The sequence below is a fragment of the Homo sapiens genome, chromosome 3, assembly GCF_000001405.40.
Source record: "Homo sapiens chromosome 3, GRCh38.p14 Primary Assembly".
Lineage (NCBI taxonomy): Eukaryota > Metazoa > Chordata > Mammalia > Primates > Hominidae > Homo > Homo sapiens.
In genome coordinates, this window is record NC_000003.12 from 120071546 (window position 1) to 120095038 (window position 23493).

At 39.4% G+C, this 23493-nt stretch overlaps 1 protein-coding gene and 1 non-coding gene across 5 annotated transcripts in view, besides 3 other annotated features; both read right to left on the reverse strand.

Annotated features, from left to right (window-relative positions):
• GSK3B (glycogen synthase kinase 3 beta) overlaps positions 1-22902 on the reverse strand; it is a 273127-nt gene extending 250225 nt beyond the window's left edge. For all 4 annotated transcript variants that reach the window (NM_001354596.2, NM_001146156.2, XM_006713610.4 and 1 more), the window contains exon 1: positions 21802-22902. In NM_001354596.2, coding sequence (NP_001341525.1) covers positions 21802-21889 — 88 coding nt within the window. In that variant the 5' untranslated portion in view covers positions 21890-22902. The remainder of the gene's footprint in view (positions 1-21801) is intronic.
• Positions 10311-10360: a silencer, noted in NCBI's record as "silent region_14634". NCBI's record gives its function as "represses an Ori minimal core promoter by ATAC-STARR-seq in GM12878 lymphoblastoid cells {active_cell/tissue: GM12878}" and the evidence as "EXISTENCE:reporter gene assay evidence [ECO:0000049][PMID:35858748]".
• On the reverse strand, positions 13019-13103 carry MIR6529 (microRNA 6529). Its single transcript, NR_162125.1, has one exon. It is a non-coding gene; the product is annotated as a microRNA 6529 (primary transcript).
• Positions 23081-23490: an enhancer, noted in NCBI's record as "active region_20329". NCBI's record gives its function as "activates an Ori minimal core promoter by ATAC-STARR-seq in GM12878 lymphoblastoid cells {active_cell/tissue: GM12878}" and the evidence as "EXISTENCE:reporter gene assay evidence [ECO:0000049][PMID:35858748]".
• Positions 23117-23411: an enhancer, noted in NCBI's record as "tiled region #13833; HepG2 Activating DNase unmatched - State 1:Tss, and K562 Activating DNase unmatched - State 1:Tss". NCBI's record gives its function as "activates a minimal TATA promoter and a strong SV40 promoter by Sharpr-MPRA in HepG2 and K562 cells {active_cell/tissue: HepG2 | K562}" and the evidence as "EXISTENCE:reporter gene assay evidence [ECO:0000049][PMID:27701403]".

A 23493-nucleotide genomic window follows, 5' to 3' on the forward strand; every position in this document is an offset into this window, starting at 1 on the left:
GTAAAGCACACATGCGAGGGATCTAGGTGCACATTCCTTATGAGAATCTACTGCCTGATAATCTATCACTGTCTCCCCAGCACCCCCAGATGGGACTGTCTAGTCACAGGAAAACAAGCTCAGGGCTCCTACTGATTCTACACTATGATGAGTTGTATAACTATTTCATTATACATTACAATGTAATAATAATAAAGTGCACATTAAATGTAATGCACTTGAATCATGCTAAAACCATCCACGCTCGTCCATGGAAAAATTGTCTTCCACAAAAGCAGTCCTGGTGCCAAGAAGGTTTGGGACCACTGCCACCACATTAAGAACCCAGATATACTCTTTTAAGTGGGGTCTAAAAAATCCAACTATTAATACATGAAACACAGGGCTTATTGCAAAGTTAACAGAAAACTGTATTTTTCCATTAGTCTTCCAGTTACAGAATAGAAAGGAAAGGGAGAGAAAAGTTCACATATCAGGTTTACTTACTGAATATTAAGTCAATGATTAAAAATGAAATGTCAGCCTGGCCCTCACCTGCAGACAATAGGCATGGCAGAGGATGAGAGTCAATTATACTATATCTAAATTTTGTATCATCACAGGATTTCACTGTAAACTGACACTTAAAACACTCATCAACTAAGAAAAGTTCGATTCAGAGGCACAGAAAATTTTCTCCAACTCATGAAAATGATAAATCAACCTTTTCTATTAATATTTAATTATCTTCGGCCGGGCACGGTAGCTTACGCCTGTAATCCCAGCACCTTGGGAGGCTGAGGCAGGAGGATCACTTGAAGTCAGGAGTTCAAGGCCACTCTGGCCAACACAGCGAACACCATGGTAGTTCGCCATGGTAGAGAACAACCAGTCTCTACCAAAAACACAAAAATTGGCAGGGCATGGTGGTACGTGCCTGTAATCCCAACTACTCGAGAGGCTGAGGCAGGAGAATCGCTTGAACCTGAGAGGCAGAGGTTGCCATGAGCCGAGATCATGCCACTGCACTTCAGCCTGAGCAAGACTCAGTCTCAAAAAAATAATAATAATAATTATCTTCAAACACTATAAAAATAACTTCTTAAAAAGAAAAACATGACAATCAACTATGTATTACAATTTGGTCTCTATATTTAAGATTCAAAGTTTTCAATTTCTGGCTTATTTTTCAACATTCATCATTTATTAAATGACAACTAAGTACAAAGGATTTTCCAGTGCAAGAATAATATAAAACAACAACAAAAATTATTGAGACCAATAACCATGGGAAATAATAAGGACAGAGGCAGGTGAAGTGTTAACACTTCTGTTCTTGCCTTGGATCAAACTATGATATGTTAACTGAACGCAAAATTGGTGCCTTCAAGTTACCAGAGGTAGCAAGGCTCCATTTCTGTACATTCGCATACTCTTAGGACAGTAAAGTAGTTAAGAATAAGAGCTCTAGACTAAATTACCTGGGTTGGAATCCAGGCTCTGCCACCTGCTGGCTATGAAACCTTGGCAAGAGTTACTTAACTTCTCTAAGATTCAGTTTCATCTGTTAAAGTGATCCTGACTGAGCTCTGTGGCTCACATCTATAATCCCTGCACTCTGAGAGGACAAGGCAGAAGAATTGCTTAAGCCCAGCCTGGACAACATAGGGAGACCTCATCTCTACAAAAAAAATTAAAAAAAAAAAAAAAAAAAAAAAGCCTGGCATGGTGGTGCGGGCCTGTAGTCCTAGCTAATTGAAAGGCTGATGCAAGAGTATCACCTGAGCCCAGGAGGTAGGCTGCAGTGAGCCACAACCACACCACAGCACTTCAGCCTGGGCAAGAGAGCAAGACCCCATCTCAAAGAAGAAAAGAAAAGGATAGGAGCTCAGGCTCAAAACTGATTTTGCAATATGGATTTCAACTACACTTCTTACCCATCTCTCACAGCCACTGTTTTATAGCTAGCCAGATCAGTTTTAAAAGCAAGGTATTTGCTCTTAAAATTTTTATTTTAAAATAAAATAAACTGTACTTATATATGACTGACAATTACTTTCTCCTCCATAAGTAACACTACAAAAAGTAGAAGTTCCTAAGCCGTACCCTAAAAAACCTTAATTCTTCCAATTTCGGGCAATTATCTTATTCCCTCTCCAAATTATAAAGGCCATACAGTGGAGCAATTAAGAGAACAGGTTCGAAGTATGGCTATGCATCTTGCTGGCTGTGTAAGGCTCTGTAAGCGTCAGTTTCCTCATTTATAAATTCAATTTGCCTTAGAAGACTGTGATGAAAATTAAATAAGATACAAACAAGTTGCTTAAAATAGAGAATAGACAACCCATGGAGAAAAACAATAAAACAAAGAGTTGGTTTTTTAAAAAAATAAAATCAACAAACCCTTAGACTACACAAAAAGAGAGGAGTCCAAAATACACAAAATGAGAAATGAAAGTGGAGACATTACAATAGAAGCCTCAGAAATAAAAACAGTTGGCCAGGTGCCGCTGCTCACGACTGTAATCCCAGCACTATGGGAGGCCGAGGTGGATAGATCACTTGAGTCTAGGAGTTCAAGACCAGCTTGGGCAACATGGTGAAACACTCTCTCTACAAAAAATACAAAAATTAGCTGGGCGTTGTAGCACATATCTGCAGTACCACTCAGGAGGCTGAGGTGGGAGGATCACTGGAGCCCAGGAATTGAGACTGCAGTGAATGTACATCGCACCACCGCAGTGCAGCTTGGGTCACAGAGTGAGGCCCTGTCTCTAAAAAAAAAAAGAAAGAAAGAAAGAAAAGAAATAAGAAGGGTCATGAGAAACTTTTTTTTTTTTTTTTTGAGACAGAGTTCCACTCTGTCACCCAGGCTGGAGTGCAGTGGCACGATCTTGGCTTACTGCAACTTCCACCTCCCGGGTTCAAGCGATTCTCCTGCCTCAGCCTCCTGAGTGGCTGGGATTACAGGTGCGCACCACCACACCCGGCTAATTTTGGTCAGGCTGGTCTCGAACTCCTGACCTCATGATCTGCCCGTCTCAGCCTCCCAAAGTGCTGGGATTACAGGTGTGAGCCACCACACCCAGCGCTGAGAAACTGTTACGAACAATTACATGCCAACAAATGTGATAACTTAGAAGAAAAGAATACCTAAAAAAGTACAACCTGCCAAGGTTGAATCAGAAAAAAAATAGAAAACCTAAATAGACCCATAACAAACAAAAAGATTGAACCAGTGGTAATTAAAATCCTCCCAAAAAAGAAAAGGTCAGGACCAGACAGCTTCACAGCTTAATTCTACCAAACTTTTTAAGAATACCAATACTACTTAAACTCTTCCAAATAATAGAGCTGTAACACATTTGATAAGGCCAGCATCACCTTGATACCTAAGCTAGACAAAAACATTACAAGAAAATAAAACTACAGGCCAGTATCTCTGATGAACACTGATGATACAAAAATCCTCAATAAAGTATTAGCAAGTCAAATTCAACATATCAAAAAATTACACATCATGATCAAGTGGGATTTATATGGGCATCCAAAGCTGGTTTAACATACACAAATGAATCAATGTGATATATTAAGAGACTGAAAGAAAAATGACACAATCATATCAACTGACAGAAAAAGCATTCAACAAAGTTAAACTTTCTTGATAAAAACTCTTTAACAGTTTAAATATAGAAGGCAAGTTCCTCAGTATAATAAGGCCATCTATGAAAAACCCACAGCTAACTACATAATCAATGGCGAGAAACTGAGAACTTTTCCTCTAAGACCTGATACAAGGCAAAGATGCCCACTCTGACCACTTCTATTCAACAGAATACTAGAAGTGCTGGAAGAGCTTGTCTAAATCAAGAGTATTTAGACAAGAAAAAGGAAAAAAAAAGTTAACCAAATCAGAAAATTATCTCTATTTGCAGATGGCATGATCCCATATATAGAAAACTCCAAAGACCACATGAAAAACTGTTAGATTGAATAAATTAATTTAGTAAAGTTGTAGGATATAAAATCAACATAAAAAATTCATGGCATTTCCATACACAAATAATGACCAAGCTGAAAAAGAAATTAAGAAAACAGCCCCATTTGTGTTAGTATCAACAAACAAAATACTTAGGAATAAATTTAACCAAAAAGTTGAAAGACCTGTACACTGAAAACTAAAACTACTGATGAAAGAAAATGAAGAGGACACAAATAAATGGAAAGAATTCCATGCTCATGGATCAAAAGAATATTGTTAAAATTATCATACTACCCAAAGCAACAAAACAGATTCAACGCAATTCCTATCAAAATCCCAATGGCATTCTTCACAAGAGTAGAAAAAGCAATCCTAAAATTCACATGGAACCACCAGACTCTGAACAGCCAAGGCAATTCTGAGGAAAAAAAAAAGTTGGGGGCTTCACGCTTCCTGAGTTAAAATTAAATTACAAAGCAACTATAATCAAAATAGTTTAGTACTGCCATAAAAACAGACACACAGACCAGTGCAACAGAATAGAGAGCCCAGCAACAAATCCAAACATAGACCGTCAACTATGTTTCAACAAAGGCACCAAGACAACACAATTCTTCAATAAATGGTGTTGGGAAAAATGGATTTCCACATGCAAAATAATGAAACTGAATCCTCATCTTACACCAGACACAAAAACCAACTCAAAATGGATAAAAACCTAAACATAAGACTTGAAGCCACAAAATTCCTAGAAGAAAACATAGGGAGAAATCTCCTTGACATTGGTCTTGGCAATGACTTTTTCCATGACACCAAAACACAGGAAACAAATGTAAAAATAGATGAGACTACATCAAACTAAAAAGCTTCTGCACAGCAAAGGAAACAACAAAATAAAAAGACAACCTACAGACTGGGAAAACATTTTGGCAAACCATATATCTGATAAGGGGTTAATATTCAAGATTTATAAAAACATCATACAACTCAACAGCAAGAAAACATATAACTCTATTTAAAAATGGGCGGCTGGGCGCGGTGGCTCACGCCTGTAATCCCAGCACTTTGGGAGGCCGAGACGGGCGGATCACGAGGTCAGGAGATCGAGACCATCCTGGCTAACACGGTGAAACCCCGTCTCTACTAAAAATACAAAAATTAGCCGGGCATGGTGGCGCACGCCTGTAGTCCCAGCTACACGGGAGGCTGAGGCAGGAGAATGGCGTGAACCCGGGAGGCGGAGCTTGCAGTGAGTCGAGATCGCGCCACTGCACTCCAGCCTGGGCGACAGAGCGAAACTCCGTCTCAAAAAAAAAAAAAAAAAAAAAAAAAATGGGCAAAGGAGGTGAATAGACATTTCCCTAAAGGTGACCTAAAAAACGGCCAACAGGTATATGAAAAGGTGCTCAACATCACTTATCATCAGAGAAATGGAAATCAAAACCATGATGAGATACCACCTCACCCCTGTTAGGATATCTATTATCAAAAAAATAAAAATAAAAAATAAGAGATTAAGTGTTGGTAGAGGTGTAGAGAAAAGAGAACCTCTGTACACTGTTGGTGAGAATGCAGATTAGTGCAGCCACTCTGGAAACAGTATGGAGGTTTCTAAAGAAACTAAAAATAGAACTATCATATGACCCAGTAATTATTCTTTGGGTATATACAAAATATTATGAAATCATCACTTCGTAAAGATATCTGCATTCCCACGTTCACTACAGCATTATTCACAACAGCCAACATATGGAAACAACCCTAGGTGTCCATCAATGGACGAATGGTTAAACTTCAGTGTGTGTATATATATATGTGTGTGTGTACACACACATATGGATGGACCTGAAGGACATTAACTGAAATAAACTATACACAGAAAAAAATATATATCATGATCTCAATTATATGTGAAATCTTTTTTCAAAAAAAGGTCAAATATACAGAGATAGAGAGTAAACTGGTTAGCAGAGGTTGAGCAGGGGAGGAAATGGGGAGATGTAGGTCAAAGTATAGGAAGTAGCAAATACCTGGGATAAACATGTCAAAAGATCTAATGTACAACATGAAGACTATAGTTAATAATAGTGTATTGTATCTAGGCTTTTGTTAAGAGTTGAGTAGATTACAGTTGCTCTTGGTAGGGGCGAGGGAGAGGGGGTGGGTAACTATGTGAGATGGAGATGTTAATTTCTTTTACTACAGTAGCCATTTTATTATAATATGTATCATATTAACATCATGTTGTATATCTTAAATATACATAGTAACATTTATTTTAAATTAATTGCTTACTATTGTACAATGACATGGTAAGTACTCAAAAAATTTTCTTCCTTTACTTCAAGTCTGGAGGGCCTGGGATCAACATCTGGAACCTATTCCCTACTAACTGTAAGGCCCCGGAATAAATCAATTAAAAAAATATATTTTTTTTAACCTCAGATTCTTCACTCATTAAATGGGGCAAATATTGTCACAGAGCATTATGAAAGTTAAATGGAATGAGAGTGCTTGGCACACAATAAACATTCAAAGAGTAGCTGAATCTGAATTCTAAAATTCCGGCCATCATTAACAGCATCCAGAGAAACTCAAAATCTATCATGACCACAAACTTTTTTCTAATTAGCTTCTTCCCCCACCCCAACTCCTATGGTCCACAGCAGCATTTCTCACCTCTTTCCTAGACTTTAGAAAGTCTAGGCTTTCTCAGCTATATGTAAGAAATTAACACAAAAAAAGATGTGTTTTTAATTAGATATAATGTGAAATGCATTTTAGAACAATTTCCTACTCCTAAATAAATACTGAAAGCCAACAAGCTATACAACTTATATTGATACCATAGCCCACACAGTGCCGGAAGACAATCTCCTGTCTCTGGGTCTTCTTTTCTAACGACCCAGGAATTGGCCCACCTGCTCCCATTTTGGAAGTCATGACAAATACGACAAACACACCCTTTGTTTCTAACTAAGTTCTCCTTCTCCAATGTAGAGCAGAAATATCAGAAATATCATACTAGAACTTCTCCTCTTTTTTTTTTTTTTTCTTTTTTTTCTGAGATGGAGTCTTGCTGTTTCCCAGGCTGGAGAGCAAGTGGCACGATCTCGGCTCACTACAACCTCTGCCTCTGGGGTTCAAGCGATTCTTCTGCCTCAGCCTCCCGTGTAGCTGGGATTACAAGCGTGCACCACCATGCCCAGCTAATTTTTGTATTTTTAGTAGAGACAGGGTTTCTCCATGTTAGCCAGGGTGGTCTCAAACTCCTGACCTCAGGGATCTGCCAGCCTCAGCCTCCCTCTGGGAGGGATTACAGACGTGAGCCACCGCACCTGGCCTGTCTCCTCTATCCTTTCAAAAAGCACAGCTCTTCTTTAATTTTCTACAATTTGACAGGAAATTACACACACACACACACACACACACACACACACTTTTTTTTCTTTTTGAGACAGTCTCGCTGTCTCGCCCAGGCTGGAGTACAGTGGCACGGTATCAGCTCACTGCAACCTCTGCTTTGCCAGGTTCAAACGATTCTCCTGCCTCAGCCTCCCGTGTAGCTGGGATTACAAGCATGCACCACCATGCCCAGCTAATTTTTGTATTTTTGGTAGAGACAGGGTTTCACCATGTTGGCCAGGGTGGTCTCGAACTCCTGACCTCAGCGATCCGCCCCTCCTCAGTCTCCCTCTGGGAGGGATTACAGACATGAGCCACTGCACCTGGCCTGTCTCCTCTATCCTTTGAAAAAGCACAACTCTCCTTTAATTTTCTACAACCTTGACAGGAAATTACACACACACACACACACACACACACACACACACACACACACACATTTTTTTTTTTAATAAGTAGACTACTGCCACAAGTAGATACATATTAAACATTTTTTTCTTTTTGAGACAGTCTTGCTCTCTTGCCCAGGCTGGAGCGCAGTAGTGCAGTATCGGCTCATTGCAACCTCCACTTCCCAGGTCCAAACGATTCTCCTGCCTTAGCCTCCCTAGTAGCTAGAATTACAGGCACCTGCCACCGTACCCGGCTAATTTTTGTATTTTTAGTAGATATGAGGTTTCACCATGCTGCTCAGGCTGGTCTCCAACTCCTGACCTCAAGTGATCCACCCATCTCAACCTTCCAAAGTACTGGGATTACAGGAGTGAGCCACCGCACCCGGCCTATATAAACATATTTTTTAAAGGCCTCAGAGTCTCTCAGTAAAAGTTATTCCTGATGTTCAACTGAATTTAAATAGAATTATACCTTGTTCTTTAGTAAATCCTCTTGGTTCAAGAAGGGCATAACAAGTATTTGCTACTTACAGAGAAAGTAAATTTCTTCCATGTCTAAGAATTGTACCCTATACCAGCCAAACATCTCACAATGCACACATTTAATCACAGAAGGAAATACCATGCTGATATGTGGAAAGCAATTTATTTTTCAAAACCAAATACAGAAAGTCATATTCGACCACTATTTAAGAATTTGTATTATGGCCAGGTGAGGTGGCACACACCTGCAATCCCAGCACTTTGAGAGACCAAGGTGGCTGGACTGAGCTCAGGAATTCGAGACCAGCCTGGGTAATATAGCAAAATCTCGTCTCTACAAAAAATACAAAAATGAGCCAGGCATGGTAGCGCACTCCTGTGGACCCAACTAATGTGGATGCTGAGGTGGGAGGATTGCTTGAGCCCAGGAGGTTGAGGCTGCAGTGAGCCAAGATCACACCACTGTACTACAATCTGATAAACAGAGCAAGATTCTGTCTCCAAAAAAGGTGGGAGGAGGGGGAGGGAAGAAGGAAGACGAAGGAAGAAGGAAGAAGGTAGAAGGAAGAAGGAGAAGACGACGACACTCTTTCCTCTAATTAAAAAAAAAAGAAGTTGTATTATTTAGCAATAGAAACCCTATTGTTTATTAATATTTCTCACCCTCTCTGGGAAAGCTCTAGAACTGACATACTAACATATCAAACAAACAAACATCATCTTAAAGACCCAAAAAGAGGTCTTGTAAAAATTAGTTTCGGCCAGGTGCAGTGGCTCATGCCTGTAATCCCAGCACCTTGGGAGGCCAAAGCATCCAGATCATTTGAGGACAGGAGTTTGAGACCAGCCTGGCCAGCATTATGAAACCCTGCTTCTACTAAAAATACAAAAATTAGCCAGGCGTGGTGGTGGATACCTATAATCCCAGCTACTCGGGAGGCTGAAGCATGAGAATTGCTTGAACCTGGGAGGCAGAGATTGCAGTGAGCCAAATCACGCCACTGCACTCCATCCTGGGCAATACAGCAAGACTCAGTCTCAAAAAAAAAAAGAAAAAAAATTACAGTTTCACAACTCCCCCACAATACAATTACATACCTAAGTACATCCATGATGAAAAGACTTCTCATATTTAAATACTGTCTGTTTACTTTATTCTTTTGCAGAGTAAGCTACTTGGTGAAAGGAAAGAAATTGAACTGTCAGGTTTCACTGTTATAAATCTCTCTTCAGTCCTTACCCACTCCAAATAAAATAATGTAAGGGGATACCGTAGTAGCGTCATATGCTCAATGTTTCAAAGGTACTGTGCTTACCAACCAGTGCAACCTAGCACCCAAGTCCTTTCTTTCAGTCATCCATCCAAAGATTTCAGAGCCACTCAGTGCTAAGCACACAGTGCAACAGAAGTGTCTGTATACTCTATGTCTCTTTCCTTTCCCTACTATCATTCCTTCACATTTAAGAAAAAAAAAAAAAACAGGGTCGGGCACGGTGGCTCACACCTGTAATCCCAACACTTTGGGAGGCGGGCGGATCACAAGATCAGGAGATAGAGACCATCCTGGTCAACATGGTGAAACCCTGTCTCTACTAAAAATACAAAAACTAGCTGGGCGTGGTGGTGCATGCCTGTAGTCCCAGCTACTGGGGAGGCTGAGGCAGGAGAATCGCTTGAACCCAGGAGGTGGAGGTTGCAGTGAGCCAAGATCGCGCCACTGCACTCCAGCCTGGCAACAGAGCGAGACTCCATCTCAAAAAAACAAACAAACAAAACACAAATTTAACTTAATTTCTTACATCAAAACTTAAATGTTCCTAGAAACATCAGCAATAGCTTGGTGACCTGTAAACTATCATACCACTAGACACCATATCACATGACAAACTGCCTTCAACTAGAATATGTACTAAGTGACCCAATACAAAAAGGACTGTGCTCCACACTGCAGAAAATACAAAGATGCATAAAATATTTTTATGTCATGTTGGAACTTATGATCTCCTACGGAGAAACAAGACACATTAACAAGAATACAAGGAAGAACATTAGAAGGGTCACAGAGAGTGCTGAAGGAGTTATATGAAAGTGAATTTCATGCCTTGAGATAAGCATGAATGACTAAAGAGGTGGCATTTGAGACTGAAAGCCAGCTAAGGTCTTTGAAACAGCAAGGGGAAATAATATATGACAAAGAATATTTGCATCGAAAAAATTCCACGGAGGCCAAGGCAATCATGGTAAGGACAACACCTAATTATCTTAACAGCAAAAATTTAAATACCTATTTTAACAGTTTTACTAAAATAAGGGTGGAAAGAATCACTACCCACCCTACAGCAAGCCCCCTTCTGAAAAACGTAACAATTTTCAACCTCTTTTAAATCTCAAAATAAGCTGAAAACATGATTAAAAACAAAGGCATAAATCAATGAAGTGTTTTTAAACCACACACACCTTTTCTATTACTTAAAAATAACAAAAATAATATAATTCCTGGACAAAATTCTAAGCCTGCACTGTCCAATACAATAACCACTAGCAACATGTAGCTAATGAACCCTTGAAATGTGGCTAGCCCAAATTAGTATGTTCTTTTTTTTTTTTTTTTTTTTTTTTTTTTTGAGAAAGAGTCTTGCTGTGTCACCCAGGCTGGAGTGCAGTGGCACAATCTCGGCTCACTGCAACCTCTGCCTCCCAGGTTCAAGCAATTCTCTGCCTCAGCCTCCCAAGTAGCTGGGATTATAGGCGTCTGCCACCACGCCCAGCTAATTTTCGTATTTTTAGTAGAGACGGGGTTTCACCATCTTGGCCAGGTTGGTCTTGAACTCCTGACCTCGTGATCCACCCGCCTCGGTCTCCCAATGTGCTGGGATTACAGGCATGAGCCACCGCGCCCGGCCCCCAAATTAGTATGTTCTTTAAGTGTAAAACACTCACTAGGTTATAAAGATTTACTACCCAAAAAAAGAATGTAAAATATCTCAATAATTTTTATATTGATTACATCTTGATATATTATTAGTTTAGATACACTAGGTTAAATAAAATATATTACTAGAATTAATTTCACTTGTGTCTATTTTTCAAAGTGGTTCATAGAAAATTAAAATTACATATATAATTCACCTTTTTGGCTTATATAATATTTCTTCTGAATAGCTCTAGTCTAAACAATTACTTAATATTAATATTTTTCAGATTTTTGTACTTGCCTTATGTTTGCATGGTAATCACTTAATAAAATGATACAAAGTAACCTTCCAACATCTATTTCTCAGTATCTAGATACTGCAAGGGTGAGGGTATCTGCCCAAAAAGTATATAGCTTCTTAACTGCCCTTTTGGAACAAATATGGAAAAAAACAATGAACAACTTTTCCAGGTATATTTATCAAACAGTTATCAGATAAGAACTATTCAACTAACAAACAAATCATGGGATTTCCATACAATGAAATGTTATTTAGAGATATGGGATCCAGGAAACTGGAGAGCCAACCCTGAAGAGCAGCGAAAGAAGTCAGAGGATGACAGCTGTACAACGGGGCCTGGAGAACAACTAGATCAGATCCCAGCAGTTGGACGAGGGCTCCAGGAAAAAGGACACTCCAGGAAAAGAAAGGGGCAGGAGGCAGGTAGAAATCCAGAGAATGTCTGATAAATTGGTACATTTGGGGGGAAGAATTGAGATTATAATTATTACAAACAGTATTTAAAAAAAAAGAAAGAAAATGGCAACAATAAAGTCTAAAAAGATTAAAAGCAAAGGAAAAAATGTGACTGTCACTTTGAAACAGCTTAATAGCTCCTTAACACTTTAAACAGAGAGTTACCATATCACCCAGCCATTCCACTACTTAGGTATATACCCCAAAAGATCTGAAAACATATGTCCACACAAAAACTTGCACACAAATGTTCACAGCAGCATATTCATACTAGTCAAAAAGCAGAAACAACCCAAATGTCCATCAACTAATAAACAAATCGCAGGATTTCCATACAATGAAATGTTATTCAGCAATAAAAAGGAATGAAGTACTAATACATGCTATAACATGGGAGAAAGAAAACAGTCATAAATGGCCATGTATTACATAAATCCATTTATATGAAATGTCCAGAACAGGCAAATCTATAAAGACAGAGAGTAAATTAGTGGTTGCCTAGAGCTGTGGGGAAGGGGAACATAGGGAATGGCTGCTAATGGGTATAAGCTTTATCTCTGAAATGATAAAAGTGCTCTAAAATTAGATGGTTGGGATGGTTACACAAGTCTATGAACACCTGAGTAATGAAAAAATGAATGTTACGGTATGTGAATTATATCTCAATAAAGCTATTCTCATAAGGAAATGTGATCACTGTATACTACTTGTTTCTACATAGAATACTGTTCCATGTCTACATACTGAGAATAATTTGAATAATAATTTAAATAAATAATAGTTTTTAAATAGTGGCATAATTATATCAGTATGAAAGCAAAAGGGAGATGGGCATGACAATAAATGATGTCTACCACAATAAGACAAAAAAATTAATTTTAAGAAATAGATAAAAAGCATATAATTAAAAATATGACAAAAACTACTAGAGGAAACAGCTGTCATAGCCAATGTTGCTTCTAAGAAGTAGGACTGGAGGACAGAAGATTACTTTCCATCATAAGCCCTTCTGCACTATTTGATTTCTTTAAATCATATATTCCTTTATAAAAGTAATTTTTATTCAACAACTAAGGGGTGCTTGATTTAGGAGCAGAATGAAACCGTACGCTCTTAAAGAAGTAAAAGGCACAGGCTTCATTGACACTGACGCACTCTGCGCCTCTGATCTCTCAAGAGAACAGGTTTTCTCATCTAAGATGTTAGAAAAATAGAAAGTTAAAAAATTATCCTGTCTTTTTATTATGAAATAAACATCTATTTTAAATGTGCTATTAATTGTTCATTGGTTAAGACTATTAACATTTTACCTCTAATTGCCACGAGAGGAGCTCTGTCATCTTTGCACTTATTCTCCAACTAACTTATATTTAGAGAAATAAGTATTTACTAATTTAATAGGTTAAAAAATAGCAATTTTCTAGAGTTACTGATTTAAATTTGTTTTAATTCTAACACTTCTGCTAAAGCTATTGTTAATTTATGTATGTATACACAAAATGCAAGTCTACTATAGAAATCATTAATCCGTAAAGATTCAGAATACCTATGAAAGGACACATAAGAAATTGTAATGCCAGTGGTCTCCAGGAAAGAGAACTGGTTGTTGCAGAGCAGGAGAGAAGACTTCACTGAATATCTTTAAAATTTTGAACCATGTGAGTAAATTACATTTTTTAAAATTTAAAGCAAAATAGGTAAATAAAACATGCAATTATCTGGCACACCGCACTCAATAATTACTGCCGTTATTACCATATATTATGAGAATATGATATACAGTACGTTGCTCTTCTATATACATGTAATTATATCTTATTATTAAAAGTCTACCAACTCAAAGCTTCCCCCTTTCCTTCATAATTTAAGTAATGTATAGAATGTGAAAACCCTGAATTCCACTAGGGCAAATGTCCCTGCAAATACTATCAGTCTGATGTCAGACATAATTCCAGTACCTCCAACTCTTCAGGTGCTCACACCACATACTCAAAATCTAGCATTAGAAATTCAATTGACTCAACTCAATAACTTCAACACAGGTCATGAAGAAAGTGTTAATCAATTAAAAATATTAACTGATTTTGCTGTACTTTGCGAGGCTGAGGCCAGCAGATTGCCTGAGGTCAGGAGTTCAGGACTAGTCTGGCCAACATGGTGAAACCCCATCTCTACTACAAATACAAAAAAATTAGCGGGGAATGGTGGCATATGCCTGTAATCCCAGCTACTCAGGAGGCTGAGGCAGGGGAATTCCTTGAACCAGGCCTCGAGGTGGCGGTTGCAGTGAGCCAAGATTGTGCCACTGCACCCCAGCCTGGGCGACACAGTGACATTCCGTCTTGAGAAAAAAAAAAAAGTATTAACTAATTTTATAAAATAACAGGAAGCAGACAGTGTTGCATTTAAATAAGATACCTTTCCTTGGAAAAAAACCTAAATCACCCAACCTTTCTAGTTATATTAGCCAATTAAGCCCCTAAGAATTTCTCAGACCTCCAAAAGAAAAACTACTTTGCCACTATCACCCTTTTTCTTCAGCCTAACAATTAAGATACCCAGCTTTTCAATTCTCATAGGCCATAAATGTATCTAGAAAAGTTCCTCTCTACATAGCTATTCATAATTCATAAGAAAGCTTAAATGACTCCATGCAGTGCCTTCTAAGCAGTCCACAAACAAAAGGTACAAGCCAGCCAAAATCCAAGCAGCAATTCCATATATACTAAGGAGGAAAAAAAAAAAAACAGAAATAGTAAGACAACAAATCTTAAATCAGATAAAACTCTGCTGCTGAGTTAATAAATGTAGATGGACAATGGAAGAAAGAGTTGGAAACAATACCCTGGGCTAGCACACTAAAGACTTTAGTACCTTTATCCATACTGCTGAAATCCAACTAGAAGATGGTGAATCAGACAGAGGTGACCCAGTTCTCTTCATCACTTCAGTGATCAACAAATTACAGATATTTTATGTAGTTTATGCAGAAGCCCAGGTTTCCACAAGAGATTTTTCTGCCTCCTGCCTCTTTAAAAGAGAATTAATATTCTCAGATGGGTGCAGTGGCTCATGACTGTAATCCCAGCACTGTGGGAGGCTGAGGCAGGATTGCTTGATTCCAGGAGTTCAAGACCAGCCTGGGCAAGATGGCGAAACCCCCTCTCTATAAAAACTACAAAAACTAGCCAGGCATGTTGGCGCATGCCTATAGTCCCAGTTACTCCAGAGGTTGAGGTTAAAAGATCACCCGAGCCCAGGAGGCAGAGGCTGCAGTGAGCCAAGACTGTGCCACTGCACTCCAGGCTAGGCATAGGCAACACAGCGAGACCCTGTCTCCAAAAAAAAAAAAAAATTTCTCTGGGTGAACATTTTCAACAATTATCAGAATGATTTACCCTGGAACTATATGAACCTACATACCCTACATACACTAAGTAATCCCAATATGCTTGTTTCCCCTAATCATCCATTCTTTTCAGTAGCATAATGCTTAATCAGTACCTATCCATTCCCCTGATCTGTGATTTCAAAAAAACCCAGACAACTCAATGAATTACAACTATATGTTAAATAATAACAAGGAACCGTTAATAAAAGCCTGAAAACTAACCTATGAGCAAAGTTTACACTCCATTTGTCTGCAGATATTAGCTGCTCAGGAGCACTTCTGGTTTACTGTCAATTACCAGCCAATTCCAATAAGGTGAGATTCCAAATAACACAATTCCACATTGATGCATAGCTGTTATTCTTCAGGAAAACTAAATTAGAAACACAATTTAGTTCGGCCACATGTGGTGGTTCACGCCTGTAATCCCAGCACTTTGGGAGGCCGAGGTGGGAAGATCACAAGGTCAGGATTTTGAGACCAGCCTGGCCAACACAGTGAAACTCCGTCTCTACTAAAAATACAAAAAATTAGCCAGGTGTGGTGGCAGGCACCTGTAATCCCAACTACTTGGGAGGCTGAGGCAGGAAAATCGCTTGAACCTGGGTGGCAGAGGTTGCAGTAAGCCCAGATCACGCCATGGCACTCCAGCCCAGGAAACAGTGCGAGACTCCATCTCAAAAAAAAAAAAAGTGTACTTTTTATTACTGAATTGATTTGAAATAAGAATCAAGAAATTAACCTTAGACCATGTTATTAAGGGAACACGTTAAGGACTTGGCTTTGTGCTGTTGTTAACCATGGTACTCTGGAAATAAAAAGTTGGTTTGACAAAACTAGTTTCAAGACAAATACATCATTACTTCAAGTGATCAAACCAAACATGCTAAGAAAACTATTCAATACAAAAAATATAAGATTTAATCACTTATAAAATTGGAACCTGCACATTGTTTGGAAGTTGACCTCTCTTCCCAAAATATAAGCAAAAATGGTAAGGGGGATTATAAACTAAGAACCCAAATCGACTAAATTGTCTTTTGTTTTGTTTTTTTTTTGAGACAGAGTCTCTCTCTGTCGCCCAGGCTGGAGTGCAGTGGCACGATCTCAGCTCACTGCAATCTCCGCCTCATGGGTTCAAACGATTCTCCTGCCTCAGCCTCCTGAGTAGCTGGGACTACAGACGCACACCACCACGCCCCCGCTAATTTTTGTATTTTTAGTAGAGACGGGGTTTCCCCACGTTGGCCAGGATGGTCTTGATCTCCTGACCTCGTGATCCACCCGCCTCGGCCTCCCAAAGTGCTGGGATTACAGGCGTGAGCCACCGTGCCAGCCGAACTAAATTGTGTTTCTAAATCTTATACCACATCAAATGCATTACAGACACAAGTATATTGGAATAATTTACTAAAAATGTCCATTATGTACTGAGTATTAGCTCATTTAAAAAAATAGAAAACTCAATAACGTAAAATGGAATATTCCTTTTTTATATAAATTTAAAGGCAGAAAATCTCAGGGAAAACAAACTTCTTTAACTCTACTCAGTTTTTCCTTGCTGTTCTATTCACATAGGTTTTTATATAAATATACATTTATACATTACACTCAACAAATTTCAAAAGCAATTTGATTTGTATAACCAAGGATGATTTGTATAACTCAAGATAAAATGCCAAGAGTGCAACCTCCGCTTTAATGAAAATGCTCTTCTTCTGAACAATGAAAATGCTTTTATTCTTGAAATCGGGGAAAACTCCCCTTCCACCACCACCACCCCACACACACACACAAAAAATCAGCTAGAAAATGATAAACATTCCAACAAATTAATTTACTTATGGTGATTATGTTCTTAGAAGAACAATATCCGGGGAACCCGGTTGGTCCTGTTAGTACCAACACACACTCTTGTCTCACCCACACAAGCGTTCTGCCCCTCCATTCTCCATTATAGGGTGGAGCATCACAAGAAGCACCACAATCTCACATCCTGTCTGTCATCTCCAACCCTGTCTCAACTTCATGGGTCTTATTTAAAAGTATGGAACTGTGACAATAGGGTCAACATATGCATGTTTCACAGCCTTCTCTATGCATAAAGTGCACACACAAATAGAGCTCTCCCACTCTTTAGACTCTGCTGCTGGAATAAAATCTCTGACTTTCCCAGCCTTGCTGTTTCTCCAAAATATTATCTCACACCTGCAACTCAATTCTAATATAAGGGCTACACAGTAAAGCGTGCAAGTACTGATTTTCAGCTGAACTTTGCCAGTGAAATGAGAAGATGTCACCTCATTTTCTAAATGCAGTTCCCAATCAGCCATAAGGTGATTTGTGAATCACTGGGTTCCCTTGAAGTTTTTCCTTTTGCCTGTGACTTACTGTCACTTCACAATTAGCATTCTACAGGTGCATGCAACAAGAAAGCATGCAATTCTTAAATATCTTAAACGTTTTAACAACTCTGGGGAAGTCGGGTTGGGAAATGACTGAAAATAAAGTTCTGGTTTTCAGTCTCACACATGAACTCTTTTCCACATTAACACAGGATTATCAAGAAATGGACTAAACTCTAATAACCTAATTTTTAGATGTCATAAAGAGATTAAACTTCCCAGGGGAATACGGAAACTCTAAGTTGCTACCTACTCTTTGGCTTTAATCACCATACGACGTAATACTGCAGAATAATATGCAGCTACTATTATTCTCTCTTTGCTAATAGAAATTTTGATCTAAAAAAGTTTTATATGAGGAAACAACTTAAGTGATACAGACTTATTTTCATATTTCTAAATCTTATATTTAAGTATTAAACCTAAACAACTAGCTAAATTTTCTCCAATTGTATATACCAAAAGGATTACTAATATTTTAACCAAAAGTGCCACAAACAGTCCCTTACTTTCCCTATGGAGTAAAATATCATGTGATTCTAAAGAAAAACTTTATAAACATTTATTTAATTACATGTAAACTTGGAAGTGAACAAAAATGAAACATTGGTTTCACTATAGCAAGTAAAAAGTAGTATTTCAAATATACTGATTTAAATTTGGGATTAATGCCTAAACTCAACAAAAAGGGCAAAAAATACTTGTTATAAAATCAACTTTTAATTTCTTCTGGAGTCTTCACAAAGTGAAGGCTCTCAATACTTTATTCTTAGATAAATTTTGCATTTAAAATAATAGTAATAATCATTATTTATAAAAAACAAGTTTTAAGCATATATCAAAGATTAATGGCTACATATCTAAAATGTTACAGTCACAGTTTAGTCCCAAAAGTATTTTCATTGATCTGAAATAAGCCATCATGAAACTATTATAACCAGGTTTCAAGTGTGAGGCTTTTGAAGCTGTATATAAAAAAAAAAAAAATTAGGACTTTGATGAGAAGCATTTAAATAAAAGCCCTTAGTTTACTGCTCCCGAATATAAATCCAACATCTTTAGGTGTAGAAAAATTAGAAACTGTGCAATTAATAGACTAGGAAGTCAAATATCATTGCCAGTAACTAACTGCTGTCTGAATTTCAAGGGAACTTATTGTATATTAAATTTTAAGAAAGTGAACTCACCTACCCTCTCACCTCAGCACTTTCTCAATTTTCCCATTACAATTAACAATATAACTTAGCAGTCAAGTCTTCCAGGCCAGTAACATCAGAATTTATTTTTAACTCTTGACTCCTTCACAAATATTCCACTTCAGTCCAGTATGAAGTTCTGCCAGTTCTTCATTCACACTGTCTCTCAAACCTGTTCCTTTCACCCCACTTTCACATTTTACTTTATTCCCTCATGATTCACAACATACCCTACTAGCTCCCTAAAAAGGCTCTAGCATCTCTCTACTATAATTCACTAATTCAACTGCAAAAATCATCTTACGTCTTATTCAGCAACCAACAATAAATCCAGATCTCTTCTGAATCTCAATCAAACTTGTACAGAACCCCTCTGCCCTCCATCAGCTAACTTTCTCTTATTTCTCAAATTCCATCTGTTCTTATGTTCTTATTTAGGCCCCTTTAATTCAGATTTGTCAACTTGATTATTGTCTCTCATGCAAAACTCACCATCATTGTTCCTTGGTACACTCCTTCCACCTAGACCTTTCATGCTTTTCTACCAGTTCAAGTTACCACCTCCTTTAACATCAGTCCTAATACACCTTGTCCGCAGGAAGTCTTTCCTCTCCCAACCATCAGTCTCACCCCTTTACTCTTTGCCACTCTGAACAAATGATTCAATTTGTATTTTACAATCTTGCAGTCATCACGCTATTGTTTTAATTTTTTTTTCCCCATAGCCTCCCTCTACAACTAAAGGATAAGCTTTTGAGAGCAAGGACTACAATTTCTTATGTCTGTTTTCAACAGGGGTTCCTTAGAATGCTAGCATCCTAACAAATGCTTAAAGACTCCCCTTTCTTTTAAATGCTTTTAAAGTCAAAGCTGTCAAAAACACATAATTAACACTAAACTCCAACTTTTAAAATTCTAAATTGACCTATATGGTAATCGGAATTAAACATTTTCATCTATATATTTTACAAGAGTTACTCCATCCTTAGTTAGTATCTGTATTACCAAGAATTCAAGAGTCATTTTCAAAGAAAATCCTGAAAAGAAAATGAAAAGTCCCAAAATGTAGCATTATAATCTAGCATTACAGATCTCTGAAATAAAGCTAATAAATCAATTAGCTGAAATAGACTGACTGATTTTCAAACTATATTACCAAGATGTAAAACATACAAACACTCCAGTACCACAAGAGGCTCTTAAGTAGCTATTATAAGATTTGTATCATCATAGCTGAAAATTACCCCGGAATTTTAAAATATTTTTCAAATCACTCCATGAAGTGCTTAGAAAGCACGACCCTTCCCTGAAAGATGCATAATCAGCTTTCCTCTTTACCTACCCGGGCATTCTCTACTTGCAAGCCACAAGAAAAAAAAAAAATTAACTTTCAAAAATTATCTCCCATTCAGCTATTACCTAGACTACCCTGTTTCAGGCTAGTTCCCAAAGCCAACATGAATTGAAATCTTGAGTTCAACTAAAAGTGATCATTTTATGTTGCCTAAGAATATAATCAATTTCACATAACATCATGTTTTGCGTGTGTGTGGGTTCTTAAAATCTCAGTTCTTTAGTTCTCTCAGTTCTTCTAGGCAACAAATTAATTTGTCTTTGCCCTCATGATGCCCCTCTTTCCCACAATAAGGAAACAATATAGATATTTTTGTTAAATTCTGCAAGTATGTTTAAACAAGCTATCATTAAATACCACATGAACTTCTCCATAAATAGAGATACACTGGAACATTAGATACTTAGTATATATTAAACACTTCAAGAGCATACTTTTCAGCACAAACCCAGGACAAGAGTAGTCTATCCACAACCCTGAACACAGCCCAAATATCCCTATTATTTCTAGGACCATAGCCATCTGCAAAAGCCAAAATGGAAAGGACTAAATCCACATTCTTCTAACTAAATCCACAGTTATCTAAATATGATGGAAACTAACGCTAGAGTGTTTTAAATCGTCCTTTTTAAGGAACCCGCCAGAACATTTAACAGGTAATGAATGCAGTAGCACTCCAAAATTGAACTTAAATGTAATGAGCCAGTGACAACATTTAACTTAGTATTTGGCACTATGACAAAACAAATCTCAATCAAAACTTGGACCTATTAATACTTCCAAGTTAACTTTTGATTAAACATAAATTATACGGTGGCAGGTTGGTAATGTCAAAACAGGAAGGTTAAGAGATAACACATCAAACCACTTATCCAATTGAACACAAATGCATACAGAGATGTTACTGCTGCTAGGTATTTATTGGCTCCCACTAGTCCCTTCTAAAGAGAGAAATCAATGGCAGCCTCCAAATGTGAATGGTTACTGAGGAAGTTCATCCACAGATTAAGAACAAATATTATGTGTAGTCATACAAACAAGAAAAAAATGTTGGGAGGGTGGGACATTTAACGTCTCTATTAAGTATATCAAACTATGATAACCCCTGAGACCTAAAATATTCTCTCATTCCAAATTCCAAAAATTCTGCAAATGTGCATAATGGTTTAGTAATCAAATCTTGTCCTTCTCTTTATTCTAAAGGATGGGCAAGTAAACACTGTCATCACTACTTTAACGTGGAAACACTCGAGCACTTGATGAAACTGACTACCAACAGCAAGAAAAGTACAAGAAAGCAGTTTGAAATCGAATCATCCAAATAAATATCATATTATCTCAATTCAAGGTTAATGAGACCGGGGGAGGGGGTATGGGAGGAGTAAAAAGGGAGCTGCTTCATCCTTGACTGAAGATAGGTTTTGCCCTTTTCCATTGCCTGTTTATCAGGAGGTCTAATAATTTCAGATCCTGGTATTTCGAGGTTTCTTATTTTAAGGGCGAGGTGGAAAAGGGGTGTAAAATAAAACCAATACTCACTGCTAACTTTCATGCTGCCAAAAGCTGAAGGCTGCTGCACCGGCTTGCAGCTCTCCGCAAAGGAGGTGGTTCTGGGCCGCCCTGACATGATCACTCTCTTCGCGAATCACCTTTTCCTTCCTTCCTCCTTTTCTTCCTTTTGTCTTTATGTTGGGGTGTTAGGTTAACGATAAATGCAGCATTAAGTTCTCCCACAGAAGAAAAAGAAAAAGACTTCGTCCTCTTGGCTTTTCACTCCTTTTGTATACTATAAAAAACAAAACAAGCGATATATTTCTCCTTCAAGACAGATCGGCACGGATATTTAACATATAGATGATTTAGGACTTGGGAAAAAATACAATTCTTTCCCCTCCCTTTCCTGGGAGGAGAGAAAAGAGAGGGCAAATCCTAAAAAAATATGTATCACGTGAAACGGGGGCAAATACTTGATTGAAAATGAGTACTTCGAATATTATATTTTCCTCGGGGATTTTTTTTCCGAGTCAATGAAGAAGGGAAGCGGCGGAAGGATCACGAGTCTCACGCTTGAAGAGAAAGGGGGATGGGTAGGAGGGAGGGAGAGGGAGGGAGGGGGTGGCTCGGAGATGCGACGGGAAACGCTGCAGCTCCGGCAAGCCGCGGGATCCGGCGGGCTGACGGCAGGGGCCCGGCGAACTAGAGGGCGGCGGAGTCGCGAGTCAGTCAGAGGCGGGCGGTGGCGGTGGCGGCGGCTCCTCTCCTCATTGCGCCAGGAGCAGCTGCAGGCGGCGGCTGGATCCAGCGGCCATGGCGGTGGCGGAGGCAGCTCCCTTCAGACCCCAGGCAGCGGCTCCTCGACTGTTCCCCATTCGCCGGGGACATGGGAACCCGGCAACCGCTTCCGTCCCTCGGGGCCCCCTCCCCCGTCCGCGGCAACAGCTCGGCCGCCCTCCCGCCCCTCGGCTCTGCTCGGTGCCCGCTCAGGAAGTGTCCGCGCTTTGCCCCAGCCCAGAGCCCTGTCAGCGGCTGCGGGGCCGGCTCCTCCTCGCTTCCTTCCTTCCTTTGTCACTTGGCCCGGGCGGCGGCGGCGGCGGCGGCGGCACAAGCCCGCATTCGCCCGGGTCAGGAGCTGCTCTGTGTGAGGAGCGCTGTCTGCGCAGCCGCCTTGCACTTCCCCACTCCTCCTCCCCCCTCCTACTCGTCCTCCACCTCCTTCCTCCCCCACCCAGCCTTACACCGCCCAGCGCCCCGCCGCCCGCGTAACAGGCGTCTGGGAATCGCCGGCCGAGCCCCACGCTCGCCCGCTTCGGCTGGGAGCCGAAGCCCGAACGGAGCCAATCACGGACGTCGTTTGTTTGCGGCTCCTCCCGGAAAAAGCCGATCAGCCTGAGAAACCAATTAGAAAGTGACGCTGGGAAGCCACGCCCAAAGAGCGGAAAATGCCGAAGGTAGCCGAACGGAAAGGGTGAATTCGCCTTGTTCGGTGGCTGGCTGGAGGAGACATTCGACAATGGCAACAGTGGCCAATCAGAGTCGCCGGCCCTTACGAAGAGGCTTGAAGAGTTGAGGACGGTGAAACCCAGAGACGCTGGTGAAACTGCACGGCTGGGCGCCGCCGCCGCTTTGTGATTGGCTGGAAAACTCCGCTGGGAGCGTACCTCCTTCGGTGATTGGTGAAGAGAAGGGGGCTTCCGAGGACAGTCTGGCCAGTCAGGACTTCCCCTCCCTCTC